The sequence below is a fragment of the Homo sapiens genome, chromosome 7 (assembly GCF_000001405.40).
Source record: "Homo sapiens chromosome 7, GRCh38.p14 Primary Assembly".
Classification (NCBI taxonomy): domain Eukaryota; kingdom Metazoa; phylum Chordata; class Mammalia; order Primates; family Hominidae; genus Homo; species Homo sapiens.
Window position 1 is genome coordinate 69,058,052 of NC_000007.14, and position 15,672 is coordinate 69,073,723.

At 40.7% G+C, this 15,672-nt stretch overlaps 1 annotated feature.

Moving 5' to 3' along the window:
* Window positions 2,431–2,946: an enhancer, noted in NCBI's record as "NANOG hESC enhancer chr7:68525469-68525984 (GRCh37/hg19 assembly coordinates)". NCBI's record gives its function as "activates a minimal SCP1, AML or CMV promoter by ChIP-STARR-seq in naive H9 embryonic stem cells {active_cell/tissue: H9 hESC(naive)}" and the evidence as "EXISTENCE:reporter gene assay evidence [ECO:0000049][PMID:30033119]".

A 15,672-nucleotide genomic window follows, 5' to 3' on the forward strand; every position in this document is an offset into this window, starting at 1 on the left:
AATATGCAGAAGAAGAGGAAGAGGAAGAAGAAGGAGGAGAAGGAGGAGGAGAGAAAAGTGGTTCTAATTCCTCACTACTTTCATCTTCTCCCTTGCTATGGTGAGGCAATATAATATCCTTGTAAGAAACTTCTATTTCCTGTTAAGCTAGCTTGTAAAAGACAGGCCATCTTTTTCATCTCCATATCCAAAGTGCATATAGATCCTCAGTAAACGTTTGGACTAGAATGAATAAAGGAAGGAAGGAATAGCAAATGAGTGAGCAGGAAGCTTGTGGTGGAAGGCAACGATGTGATATCCATCATTGACAGACCAGTGCACATTGGCTGAAAGACATGTGAAGACAGTTTTCTGTGACAAGACAGTGACGCTGGTATTAGGAGACCCAGACAGAGGCTTATGGTAAATATGATGATAACAGCAATCCATGCATGTGTGAGAGGAGAATCTGTAGTTAAATCTCATCAGGCAATACAAGCAGTCTCTGACTTATGATGGTTCAACTTAGAATTTTTCAGCTGATCCCCATCCTAAGTTGTAATCCCATCCTAAGTTGAGGAGCATTTGTAATAACAGTCAGCCCTGCCTGGATGTCCGTGAAGCCAGCCAAGCTGTCAGCTTGCAGGTGCTTGGGCTACTGCACTGAGTCAATAAGCCCTGGCTGACTGCAGGGTTTCCCAAAAAAGTATGTCCTGAATTTCTATGCCTTCAAATTCAGTAACCTGGTCCTTCTGGGGATAAATGCCTTAGCAGTACCAGAAGTGAACTGTACCTAAAGTTGGGAAATCTCCTCCTAGCCCTCAGGTGTACCTTGTGGTGATACATCGGCCCCATAATGTGAGTGATGTGCACAGTACATGAGGTACTACTTGCAAAGTGCTTTGCGCAAAGCCTGGCTCCTAACAGGTGCTCGGTGAAAAGTACATAACCTGTCTCAGCCTCATTTTCCTCTCTGAAGACTGAATTAAATTGGACCAGATGTTTTATAAGTTTTTTTCTCAATTCTAAATATCTTTTATCAATCATAGCATGGTTTAGGGACATTGCCTTGGGGCATTCTCCATGTCATCCAATCAAGCCTGCACCCAAATGAAAACCTGCCAAGGAAACAAGCATCCCATGAGGACTGAAGGACAAACATCAGGAATGGTGACAGGGATGGCAATGTTCTTTTGCAGAGTTCATGGTTGTTAGCTGGTCTCAGAGGGTTCCCAGGATGCCTCTGCTGCTAATTAGGAATGAGGCAGTGAGAGGTCTCCTGGTCCCCAGGGCTCCTTCTTCATAATTTCTCAGGACTCCTACTTCTTTGTGAGTGAGCTCCATCCCATTAGTGCAGGATGCTCTCCTTATCTCTGATTGATGGAAATAAAGTAAGACAAAGGCAGCCAGAGGAGCCAGCAAGCCTGGGTCCCCAGGCAATGCCTCAAGTGCCTTCCCTGAGGTGTGAGCCCTTATCACTGGAAATCTCTGAGTAGAATCTAGACACTCATGTGGAGCCCTGAACTTGGACCGCCTGCCTTCCCTTCATATTGATAAAGAGCCTCTCTATGTGCCAGGCATGTATAACCAGGCACCAAACTATTTACAAGCAATTAATGCAACCCATAGATCTGCAGTGCATTGAAAGCACCTGACTCAGCTTGACAAAGTCACAGAGGTGGAAATTTCTGGTCAGGGCCAAACTGTCTGAGCACTTGACCAAGGCCAGCCCATGTCTAACTTCAATTTCCCAGTCCATATATCAGCTTCTTTTTTCCCTGCAGTTCTCATAAACAGAGGTCCCAAGATGCCTAGCATCTGAATAGGTAATAATTATGTGTTGGTTTTTCTCCATTACCCCGTCGAGGTCCATTCTCTCCTTCTTCCAGCCCCCATCTCAGTGTGTAGGAGACTGGCCACTTTGGACTTCATCAATGGGTCCTCTGGCTCCCCTTGAGTTTGGACCAATAGGAAGCACCAGAAGGATATTGAAGGTGTGAACAGCAAAAATCTGAGACTGGTCTCAGTTAATTTAGAAAGTTTATTTTGCCAAAGTTGAGGACGCACGCCAGTGACACAGCCTCAGGAAGTCCTGATGTCATGTGCCCAAGGTAGTCAGGGCACAGCTTGGTTTTATACATTTTAGGGAGACATGAGACATCAATCAATATATGTAAGAAATACATTGTTTCTGTCCAGAAAGGCAAGGTCAAGTCGAAGCAGGGAGGAAGCTTCTAGGTTACAGGTAGGTTTGAGACACATGGTTGCATTCTTTTGAGTTTCTGATAAGCCTTTCCAAAGGAGGCAATCAGAATAGACATCCATCTCAGTGAGCAGAGGTATGACTTTGAATATAATGGGGGCAGATTTGCCCTGGGCAGATCCCAGCTTGAATTTTCCCTTTAACTCAGTGATTTTGGGGGCCCCAAAATATTTTCCTTTCACCAAGGCAGGAGGAGAGAGAGGCAGAGTATTCACCCCTAACCCCAGCTCGTTCCCTGGGCTACAGTACAGTGACGCTCTTTCTTCCCCACAGAACCACACTCTTAAGGAGTAGCTCTTCCTATGGCATTCTTCCTGTAGCTCTTCCTTGTAGAGTTGATGAAACCACTCCTTTCCCTTGAGCCTTCAAGCTCAGGGGTGGAATCAGCCCAGGGCAATTAACTACCTCGAATTGGCTCCCTTAACTTAGCCCACCTCCCTGTAAATAGTCACTACACTCTCTTCAGCCTCTCCTTTGGAGTGCACCATCTGCCTCCTGCTGGGACCCTGCCTGAGACAGATGTTTACATAAATACTTTGAGACTAAAGGATTTAGATCAATCCCAGAATTATTTCCCTAGTGAGCACAATATTTTATGGAGGGTCTCATTTGTAAACTTAAGAAAGAATGGTATAAGTGAATATGTAAGAAATCCTTTTTCAGTATCTTTTTCCCTCTAGGAGGCTTTCAGAAAGCTTAAAATCCCCTGGAATTGGATCCTCCTGGATTTCTGGTTTGGAATCACTGCTTAGCAATTATTTAGTAACTGCAAATCCCTCACAGAACGAGGAATGAAAGTCTCACCAAGACATTCAGAGCTCGTTGCAATTTGGTACTGAGCTGCCCCTCCATTCACTGCTCCCAGTCTGTGCCTCTATAATCACAGCCACCAGAGCACTTCCTCTCCCCAGGTTCATTCTGGTTCCTTCGACTGGCATGTCCTGCTCCTTCCAAACACATCCATCTCCCATTTCTCCCTTTATTGAAGTCCTAGTCATTCTTCAAGTCTCAGTTCTAATCCTAGCTTCCCTCCCAGTCTTACCGGATTCCCTACTCCTTTGGATCATCAGTGCATCTCCTGTTCTTTCCCTTCTTTGAGTTCCCAGAATCATTTTATTTTTTAAATTAAAAGTTAATAAAATTGATTTTCTGGGGGCCATAAAATTCTGTAAATTTTAGCACGTGTATAAAATCGTGCAAACTGCCATAAACAGGAAACAAACAATTCCATCAACCACAAAAACTTTCTCATGCTATCACCTTGGAGTCATGTATATACGTGTATGTATACATATGTGTGTGTGTATCTATACATACATATATATTTATATAATATAATATTTATATTTTTTATTATGTGTCAGCAAAGCAAGTTGACACATAAAATTAGCCATCGCAAGCATATAAATATTTATATAAATATATATATGTATTTATATGTACACTATAGATAAAGATAGATATAGATAGATAGATAGATATAGAGAGAGATTTATTGCAAGGAATTGGCTCACATGATTGTGGAGGCTAACCAGTCCCAAGATATACAGCGTGAATCAATGACCTTGAGACCCAGGAGAGATGAAGATAAAGCCCAGTTCAAGTTTGAAGGCCCGAGAACCAGAACTGATCATGAAGTTCTTGTCCAAAGGCCTGCATGCTCAAGACTCAGGAAAAGCCTAGGTTTCAGTTTGAGTTCAAAGGCAGGAAAAGATAATGTCTCCAGTTCAAGCAGTAAGGCAGGAGGAAGCCTCTCATACTCAGAGGAGGTTCAGCATTTTGTTCTATTCAGGTCTTCAGCTGATTGGATGAGGCCCACTCACATTAGGGAGGATGATCTTCTTTACTCAGTCTACCAATTTAAATGTTAATTTCATCAATGTCAACACTCAGAATAATGTTCCACCAAATATCTGGGCAGCCTGTGGCCCAGGCAAGTTGACACATAAAATTAGCCATCACAAGCATATAAATGGGATCATAGAATATGTAAACTTTAAGAGTGACTCCTTTCACTTCATAAATGCATTTGTGATACATTCAAGTTATTGTGTGTATCAATAGTTTTGCTCTATGAAAACACCATTAAGAAAATAAAAAGACATCGCGAAGGCCCACGGCGGGTGTTGACGTGATGTGATTTCTGCCCAGTGCTCTGAATGTCAAACTGAAGAAATTCAGTGAAATGCGGGTAAACGGCGGGAGTAACTATGACTCTCTTAAGGTAGCTAAATGCCTTGTCATCTAATTAGTGACGCGCATGAATGGATGAACGGGATTCCCACTGTCACTACCTACTATCCAGCAAAACCACAGCCAAGGGAACGGGCTTGGTGGAATCAGCGGGGAAAGAAGACCCTGTTGAGTTTGACTCTAGTCTGGCATGGTGAAGAGACACGAGAGGTGTAGAATAAGTGGGAGGCCCCCAGCGCCCCCCCATCCCCGCGAGGGGGCAGGGCGGGGTCCGTCGGCCTTGCGGGCCGCCGGTGAACTACCACTACTCTGATCACCAAAATAGCATGGTACTGGTACCAAAACAGAGATATAGATCAATGGAACAGAACAGAGCCCTCAGAAATAACACCGCATATCTACAACTATCTGATCTTTGACAAACCTGAGAAAAACAAGCAATGGGGAAAGGATTCCCTATTTAATAAATGGTGCTGGGAAAACTGGCTAGCCATATGTAGAAAGCTGAAACTGGATCCCTTCCTTACACCTTATACAAAAATTAATTCAAGATGGATTAAAGACTTAAACATTAGACCTAAAACCATAAAAACCCTAGAAGAAAACCTAGGCATTACCATTCAGGACATAGGCATGGGCAAGGACTTCATGTCTAAAACACCAAAAGCAATGGCAACAAAAGCCAAAATTGACAAATGGGATCTAATTAAACTAAAGAGCTTCTGCACAGCAAAAGGAACTACCATCAGAGTGAACAGGCAACCGACAAAATGGGAGAAAATTTTCGCAACCTACTCATCTGACAAAGGGCTAATATCCAGAATCTACAATGAACTCAAACAAATTTACAAGAAAAAAACAAACAACCCCATCAAAAAGTGGGCGAAGGACATGAACAGACACTTCTCAAAAGAAGACATTTATGCAGCCAAAAAACACATGAAAAAATGCTCACCATCACTGGCCATCAGAGAAATGCAAATCAAAACCACAATGAGATACCATCTCACACCAGTTAGAATGGCAATCATTAAAAAGTCAGGAAACAACAGGTGCTGGAGAGGATGTGGAGAAATAGGAACACTTTTACATTGTTGGTGGGACTGTAAACTAGTTCAACCCTTGTGGAAGTCAGTGTGGCGATTCCTCAGGGATCTAGAACTACAAATACCATTTGACCCAGCCATCCCATTACTGGGTATATACCCAAAGGACTATAAATCATGTTGCTATCAAGACACATGCACACGTATGTTTATTGTGGCACTATTCACAATAGCAAAGACTTGGAACAAACCCAAATGTCCAACAACGATAGACTGGATTAAGAAAATGTGGCACATATACACCATGGAATACTATGCAGCCATAAAAAACGATGAGTTCATGTCCTTTGTAGGGACATGGATGAAATTGGAAATCATCATTCTCAGTAAACTATCGCAAGAACAAAAAGCCAAACACCGCATATTCTCACTCATAGGTGGGAATTGAACAATGAGAACACATGGACACAGGAAGGGGAACATCACACTCTGGGGACTGTTGTGGGGTGGGGGGAGGGGGGAGGGATAGCTTTAGGAGATATACCTAATGCTAAATGACGAGTTAATGGGTGCAGCACACCAGCATGGCACATGTATACATATGTAACTAACCTGCACATTGTGCACATGTACCCTAAAACTTAAAGTATAATAATAATAAAATAAAATTTTAAAAAAGAAAATAAAAAGACAAGCTACAGACTGGGAGAAAATATTTGCAAATCACATAGCTCATAGTTCATTCTGTGTTTTTTTTTTCTTTTGCAGAGTAGTATTCATTGTGGGAACTCACCACAATGCAATTTTTATTGCAATTGCATTAAATGTATAGATCAATGTGGGGAGAAGCTTGCCTGGTATGACTCTCCTTTTATTTGGATTTATTTTGATTTCATTCATCACTATTTTGTAATTTTCAGCGAGCAGATTCTATACATGATTTTAAGCATATATCTAATATTTTCATTACTTGGAGCTATTGTAAATTGTACTTTTTGGTTACCAGTTGTCCATTGCTACTATATAAGAATAAGACAGATTATTTTTTAATGTTGATCTTGTTCCCTCATTTATTAGTTCCAGGAGGTTTTTTGTAGATTTGTTTATTGATATCCATTCACTCATTGAAGAATATTTGTATCATTTCCAGCTTGGAAATGATGAATAGAGCTACTATAAACATTGGTGTATAGGTTTTTGTATGAACATAAGTTTTAATGTCTCTAGGATAGCCTAGAAGTAGGATTATTGGGAGGATTTAACTTTATAAGTAAATTTTATAAGAAACTGTCAAAATGTTTTCCACAGTGTCTTGACTACTTTATATTCCTACCAGCCATGCACAAGTGTTTCCAGTTGTTTCACATCTGAAGCATTGGCATTATTAATAATGTCCTCTTTTGTTTTTTTCTGGGCTTTTTTTTTTTGCCCTCCTAAAGGTACATAGTCATATCTCATTGTGGCTTTAATTGGCATTTCCCTAATGGCAAATGATCTTAAACATCTTATACTATACTAATTTGACTTCCATATATGGTCTTTGGTCTTTGTCTGTTCAAGTCTTACCCATTTTCTAATGAAGTTTGTTTATTTTCTTACCGTTGAGTTTTGAGAGTTCTTTTAACACTCCAGAGACAAATCATTTGTCAGCTATGTGATTTTCTAATATTTTCTCCCAGTCTGTAGCTTGACTTTTTATTTTCTTAATAGTGTTTTCGTACAGCAAAACTTTTAATGTTAATGAACTCATGCTTTGCTTGCATGTGAAGAATTGTCACCACTCAAGTGATGGGTGCACCAAAATCGCACAAATCACCACTAAAGGGCTTACTCATGTAACCAAAGCACACGTTTCCCAAAAACCTATAGATCAAAAAAAAAAAAAATTGAAAAATGAACTCTTGCCAAATCCCATGTTACAAAGATTTTCTCCCACATTTTTTTCTAAAAGATTCATAGTTTTACCTTTTACTTTAAATTGACGACCTTCTATTTTGAGTTACTTTTTTGTATAAGGTGTACAGTTTAGATTGAGATTCATGTCTTGCCATACAGATGTCCACTTGTCCCAAAATTATTTGTTGAGAAGCCTATGCTTTTTCATTGAATTGCCTATGAACAGATGCCAAAAATCAATTAACCATATTTGTGTGAATATATTTCTGGATTCTTCATTATTTTCTATTGACCTATGCATCGATTCCTTCACTTTCTTGATTATTCTAGCCTTGTGGCAAGTCTTTAAATTGAGTAGTGTGATTTCTTCCATTTCACTCTCCTTTTTTGACATTGTTTCAGTCATTCTGATTTTTTTTGTCTTTCCACATAAATTTGAGAATACGTTTGTGTATATGTACCAAAAAAACTTGCTTCGATTTTTATTGCAATTGCATTAAATGTATAGATCAATGTGCAGAGAAGCTTGCCTGGTATGACTCTCCTTTTATTTGGATTTATTTTGATTTCATTCATCACTGTTTTGTAATTTTATCATGCAGATTCTATACATGTTTTTAAGTATATATCTAATATTTTCATTATTTGGAGCTATTGTAAATTGTACTTTTTGGTTACTAGTTGTCCATTGCTACTATATAAGACAGATTTTTTTTAATGTTGACCTTCTTCCCTCATTTATTAGTTCCAGGAGGTTTTTTGTAGATGCCTTGGGATTTTCTGTATACAAAATCAAGTCATCTGTAAATAGAGACAGTTTTATATATTTATTTCCCATCTGTATTCCTTGTATTTCTTTTTCCTATCTCATTGAACTGGCTGGGTCTTCTAGCATAATATTGTATTAGATTGGTGAAAGTGGACACCCTTGAATTGCTCTCATTCTTAGGGGAAAACATTTAGTCTTTCACCATTAAGTATGAAGTAAGCTAATTTTTGTAGGTATCCTTTGTCAGATTAAGGAAGTTCTCTCTTATTTTTAGTTTGCTGAAAATTTTTATTATAAACAGAAGTTGAATTTTGTCAAAATCTCTCTCTGTATTAACTGGCATCATGTGTTTTTTTTTTTTCCTTTTTACACTATTAATGTGGTGGATTGCATTGATAGATTCTGAGTATTGAACTAGCTTTGCATTCCAAGGAAAAACTCCACTTGATCATTCTGTACTTTTAGTATATTACTAGATCTGATTCACTAATATTTTAGAAGGACTTTTACATCTGTACTCAGGAAGGATAATGGCTTAGAATATTTCTTTTTCAGGAGATTTTAAATCATGAATTCAATCTCTGTAATAATTAAAATTTCTAGTTATCTCTTACATCTTGGTTGAGTGTTGCTAGTTTGTGATTTTTTGAGGAATTGGTGCATTTTATCTAAGTTGTAGTGTTTATAGGTATATAGTTACCCACAATCTGCCCTTATTTATTCCTGATATTAATTTGTCTTCTCTATTTTCTTCTTTGTCAGTCCTGCTTGGTCCATAGCATCAGATGGTTCCTCTCATAGTTTTATGTTTCCACCTCACATTTTTGCACTATTACAGTGTTGTTTCCAAATACCTTTTATGCGTTTTCCCTTCCCAAGGTTCTCGGGATCTAGAATAGAGCCTCATACACTGAATGGATGGCATTTTTTTCTTTTAACTAAGAGAAGCACCCACAAGCCGATGTGTAGGTTCTCTCCTCTCCAAAGGCAGTTCTGACTCCCTGAGCTAGAATTTTTTTTTCTTTTTCTTTCAGTAGTTTTGGGGATACAGGTAGTTTTTGGTTACATGGATGAGTTCTTTAGTAGTGAATTCTGAGATTTTTGTTCACCTGTCACCCAAGCAGTGTATATCGTACCCAATATGTTGTCTTTTATCTCTCACCCTCTTCCCAACTTCCCCGCTCCAAGTCCTCAAAGTTCATTATATCACTCTGTATGTCTTTGTGTCCTCATAGCTTAGCTCCCACTCACAAGTTAGAACATACAGTATTTGGTGTTCCATTCCTGAGTTACTTCACTTAGAAAAATAGCCTCCAGCTCCATTCAAGTTGCTGAGCTAGATGTAGGTAACACTTTGGTCTGCTGCCACCACATTTACCTGGTGAGAAGCAGCAGCGCCCACTACTGGCTCCTAGGGGGAGCTCATCACACCTCTCTAGCACCACAGGCTGCCTCCTCTGCGCAGGAGTTCTCAAGTGCATTGGTCAAGCACAAGGACGTTCACTGCATCATCAGACTAGGGGTGTAGATTCTCCTTCTCTTTTGCCTTTGGTATTGCTTTGGTTTTTTTCCCTCTTACTTCATTAAGTCTGGGGAAGAAAGTGGGGTTATAGAAATCTTCTATTTAGGAATCACTCAGTCTTGCAGTTTCTGCGTTGTCTATCTCTTTCTGGACTTTTTTGGGTCATGTCTCATGCTCACTCTCTCTCCCTCTCTGCAGAATGAGAGGTCTGTTCTGCTCTCAGCATTAGGGCAAATACTTTTCAATGATTTTCTACTGTTTCCTTAAATTGCCCGATCTTCAGTTGTAACAGTGATAGAATACAGAGGCTCAAAACTTGAGTAGTACGAACTCAGAAGAAGAGGACTGGAAGAGGCAATCCAGCCTGCCACGGCTCTATGTCTTGAGACTGTCTCAAAGTCAGAAAGAAAGACTCCATGTGATCCAGTCTACCTCTTTAGGAGACATGGACAGTGGTTTGGAGCAAAAGCTTCTTGGTATGAAAGAGTGTGTTTTTGCCCAGCTCTTAGCTCTATGTGTAGATTTCATTCAGGTACCTTGCACAGGGCTTGGGGGAAGCTGTGGCAGGGAAAGTATTGGAAATCCAGCTGCTGAGCCCTCAGCCATCATTCTAGACTTTCATGGGACTGTGGTTCAGCTGATGATCAAGAGGCCACCACAGCCAGGCACAGTGGCTCATGCCTGTAACCTCAGCACTTTGGGAAGCTGAGACAGGAGGAGGCCAGAAGTTTGAGACCAGCCTGGGCAACATAGTGAGACCCCCATCTCAAAAATTACAAAAAAAACAACTACCCAGATGCCAGGCATGGTGGTGCACACCTGTAGTCCCAGCTACTCAGTAGGCTGAGGTAGGAGAATCATTTGAGCCCAGTAGCTCAAGGCTGCGGTGAGCTATGATCATGCCATTGCACTCCAGCCTGGGCAAGAAAGCAAGACTCTGTCTCAGAAAAAAAAAAAAAAAAAAAAGACCATCACAGAGACTCTGTAGCCTTTCAAAAAAGACCATGATCCAGGTAACTCTGCAGCCAGAAGCATCCCTGATGACAGACTGGTTTGTCATCAAACCATGGCTTGGCTCTTTGTCCCCACCCAAATCTCATCTCGAATTGCAATCCTCTTGTGTCAAGGGAAGGACTGGTAGGAAGTTATTGGATCATGGGGGCAGTTTCCCCTATGCTGTTCTCATGATAGTGAGTGAGTTCTCATGAGATCTGATGGTTTATAAGTGTGGCACTTCCTCTCTCTCTCTCTCTCTTTCTCTCCTGCCACCATGTAAGACATACCTTGCTTCCCTTTTGCTTTCTGCCATGATTGTATGTTTCCTGAGGCCTTCCCAGCCTTGTGGAACTGTGAGTCAATTAAATCTCCTTTCTTTATAAATTACCAAGTCTCAAGTAGTATCTTTATAACAGTATGAGAACGGACTAATACACAGACCATTTGGCATAATTAAAACGCAAGCCTCTTCATCTGAAAATACTTTAGGGGCTCCCAGCAGTTTACTCCATCTATTAAGTAGGCTTTTTGCTCATTGAGCCTATTCGATTTCTGTATAATATCAAAATCTTCAGGCCCTTGTGGATCTCTGACTCAGATCCCATCCTCCTCCATCTCACTAGCTTGTGCCAAACCTTAAACCCACTCATACAAGCCAACCATAAACACTTCAGTGATTCCCCCAAATCACATTTATTGCAAGAGCTGCCATAAAATGATCAACAGAATCCAAAAGCATCATTTTAAGTCACTTCTCATCATAAACTCCATTCAGCATTTTTGAAGGAGAGAAATTAAGTTGAAAGTGAAGAAAGATTCTTAGAAAGCATCCCCACAGTGCCCTTTTTCAAAGACTTAATCAAGATTTATTAAGTTTTAATTACATGCAAAGCACACAACTATATACTCTGATGAATACAAAGCAAGTATTAAGCATGGTCAACCTTGAGAGCATCAGCTCTGGTAGAAAGACAATTAGATTTCAGACCAGAGCTTAAAATCTGGATCTCTTATTTACTTGGTGTGTGATTCAGACTCTAGACTTGTGACAAGTTATTAAGAAATCTAGGGCTCAAAGAAGAACCAATGAAACTATAGCCATAACCCCCAATGGTGTTTTGTGAGGAATAAAATTAAATAACCAGGCTGGGCATGGTGGCTCATGTCTATAAACCCCAACACTGTGGGAGGCCGAGGAGAGAAGAGTGCTTAAGCCAGGAGTTCAAGACCAGCCTGAGCAACATAACAGGGTCCTGTCTCTACAAAATTAAAAATAAAGGAAAATTAGCCCACAATGGTGGCATGCACCTGTTGTCCAAGCTACTTGGGAGCTGAGATGGGAGGATCTCAGTTGAGCCCAGGATTTTGAGGCTACAGTGAGCTATGACTGCACCACTGTACTCCAGCCTAGGCAACAGAGTGAAAGCCATCTCTAAAATAAAATAAAACAAAACAACACCACTGGTGGGCACTTGGTCAATATCGGCTTGTCAAATGGTCACAAGAATGCATCTATGAGCTTACCATCTAGTTAGAACACCAAGAAAAATACAAGTAAAATAATAAGAGAAGAACCATAAGTTATGCACTGGGGGTAACATAAACTGCATACTTACATTATGAGTGGAAGAAAGAAAATAAAAAGATCACTTGTGGAGTGAATTCGGCCAAGAAACACTTTGGGAAGGAAGGAAGATGTCAATTGGCCCTGCAAAATGGGCATGGTTGGGATCAGCAGAGAGAGAGAGCAGCAGGCAGTGGAAACCCTGTGAATTGAGCAAACCAGGAAGGGTATGTGCAGCTTCCAATACCCACATGCAAGCCCTCAGTTGCCCTCACGAACCAAACAAAATGAAAACATTGTGCAAAAGCTATGTACTACTTAGCCTCTAGCTATGCCTTTCACTAATAAGCTCCATGCCCCATCACACCAGAAATGACACATACCCATGATTTCCAGGTTCAGTCTCTCTACCAAAACCTCTCCAGGATTTCTGGCAGAGAAACAAGCCTTAAGATACAGTCAGCAGGTGTCTACATGCCGATGTCTTCCTTAAGCATGAGCTTCCTCATACCTCAATCGCTTATGTTCTCCAAAAGAAAAATTGTTTTTCTCCTCTTTGAAATAGATAAGATCAAGACTCCATGTAAGGTGATGGAAGGGGATGCGAGAACACTCCCTCGGGCTTCTGTAGCCCCCAGAAAACACCCGTGTTAGCACACTTGGTGTAATGTTTGTTTACATATACAAGTGCCCCACTACTTAGGGTGGCAGGAGGATGTCAAACAAAATCTTGATAAATTCTAGTCATCAAGCTAGAAAATATATTTCTTGCAGCCTAGAAGAAATGTCTTATATTAGAAAGGGGAGCAGAAAAGATTGAACATTTTCAAGAGCAGATTCTTAGCATTCTGCACCAGATAGCACGCTAGACACTCTGCGTATTACCTCCCTTGGCAATTGCAATGACTTGAGGACGTGGTAAATGTTGCCTTAATTTACAAGTATTGAAAGATATTCCACTTATGGAGATGAGGTAACTTGCTGAAGATCACAAAGCTGGAAAATGATAAAATTGGAATTTGAAGTTAGGCTTGTTTGGCTCAAAAGCCTCTTCTGAAAGCATTAAATGCTGAGGCGGATTAGGTGGCCTGAGAAGGTGGAAGTCACATTGCCCCGTCCCTCTTCCATCTGTGTCCATGGAAGTTAGAGGAGTGCTTTGTAAGAAATGAAGGCAAATAAATAAATGAAAATTAGGTGCAAATGGAAAGGCAGAAAGGTGTGGAGGGAAAGAATTTGATACACACAAGAGATTGGGCACAGGGTTGTGGGATATCATTACTTAACGTCATTATAGTTCATAACAGATGCTTCACAGTCCTAAATTTTATATTTATTTGCAGCTTCTTTTTGAAACACAGTCTCTTTTTGATATGAGAGTCATGCTGACAAAACAAGATTGATTAAAGTTTCTAATTATCTGTCATCACAGCATGACCAGTGGCAAATGAAATGCATTTTCTTGCTTCTTCCAGCAAAGATAGAGAGTTCACTAATGCAAGACACAAATCTCTTCTGGTTCACTTCAATACTCAGTAAAAACCTGCACAGCAAGGCAATAAGTCGAGTGGGTGAAATCACACAGCCTCTCAGCAATGCTGATTTTCCATTTAAAAAAAAAAAATTAGCCAGGGCTGAAAGTAAGGACTCCAGAACGAATCGTCAATGCAGACATATTATAGAACAATTATTCTCTTCCTGACTTTAATTTTGGTACCACATGCAACCAGGTTATATCTGCAACTGGTTATATCTTCATATGATAGCCACTAAACAATCCTATTGAAATTCCATATGAGTAGATTATTTAGAGCAATGCTAGCTGCTATAACAAATAAGTCTTTAAATTATCAGTGGCTTAACACAAAAGAAATGTATTTCTTATTCAAGTAACAGTCCAGTGCAGGTGTTCCCGATTGGTCAGCAGCCTCCCACGAGGTGATTCAGGGATCCAGGCTCTTTCTGTCTTGTGGTTTCCCCATCCTCTCAGGCCTCAGAGCATGCTCAATCCAGCCAGTGTTGAGCCAAAAGAGGAGGAAGAAGGCACAACCACTTTGAACCTCTTTAGTCTTTAAATGGCACTTCACTTTTACTTTATTGACAAGAACAAGTCACCTAGATGGCAGAAAGACTGGACAACCATTTCCAAGTAAAACTCTCTCTCCTGGAACAGAAGAGACTTTGGTGGACAGTTAGTGATCCTGCTACTAATGTTTCTTTCGGCCTCCAATATCCATATTAAACTTTATTAATTTTTTTTCTTTTAAAACAGCGTGTCTTCTCTCTGTCACCCCAGCTGTGGTGTAGTGGTGCTATCATGGCTCACTGCATCCTCTGCCTCCGAGGCTCGAGTGATCCTTCCACCTCAGCCTCTGAGTAGCTGGGACTGCTGGTACCATCACACCTGGATTTTTAAATTTTTTGTAAAGACAGGCTCTCACTATGTTGCCCACGCAGGTCTCAAACTCCTGGGCTCGAGGGATTCTCCTATTCGGTCCCCCGAAGTGCTGGGATTACAGTCATGAGCTACTGCACCCAGTTTATATGCATCATTTTTTTCTACACATAGAATATATCCATCTCCTCCTTAAGAGAGACCACCCAAGGTCTCACTTGATACTACACCTGTGCAAAGCACGGGAACTCAGGAAGGCAACGGCCATTTCCCCAGTTTTTATGAAGCATGTCATGATATGATCAGTTGTACACATAAAAAAGAAGAAATCATCTGCCCTCCATACATTTAATATACACAGTGGTGATAAAACAAGGACCAGAAAACCATAAAACAACAAAAAGCTTTCCCAGTCTTCTCTGTTAAGGGGGAATTCCGCACACACCAGTGACATCCCGTTTTCTGACTTCTTCCACCAGAGCGGCAGCCTTAGATGTATTCAGTCCGCCTTCCAAGTTATGCTAGACAATACTTTTCTTTCGTTTTCTTTTTTTTTTTTTTTTTTCTTTCAGACGGAATCTCGCTCTGTCACCAGGCTGGAGCGCAATGGCGCGATCTCGGCTCCCTACAATCTCCGCCTGCTGGGTTCAAGCGATTCTCCTGCCTCAGCCTCCTGAGTAGCCGGGAATGCAGGCATGCACCATCATGCCCAGGTAATTTTTGTCTTTTTAGCAGAGACGGGGTTTCACCATGTCAGCCAGGATGGTCTCGATCTCTTGACCTCATGATCCGCCAGCCTTGGCCTCCCAAAGTGCTGGGATTACAGGTGTGAACTGACACGCCCAGCCAACAATACTTTTTAAATTGACAAATTATAATTGTATCTATTTATAGGGTAAAAAGTGATGCTCGGATACATGGGCACAGCACAGAATGATTGAATCAAGCTAATTAACCTATCTATCACCTCAAACACTTACTATATGATCCCTCCTGTCTAATGGAATCTCTGTATCCTTTGACCAATGCCTCTCCATTTCCCCCACCCCCAG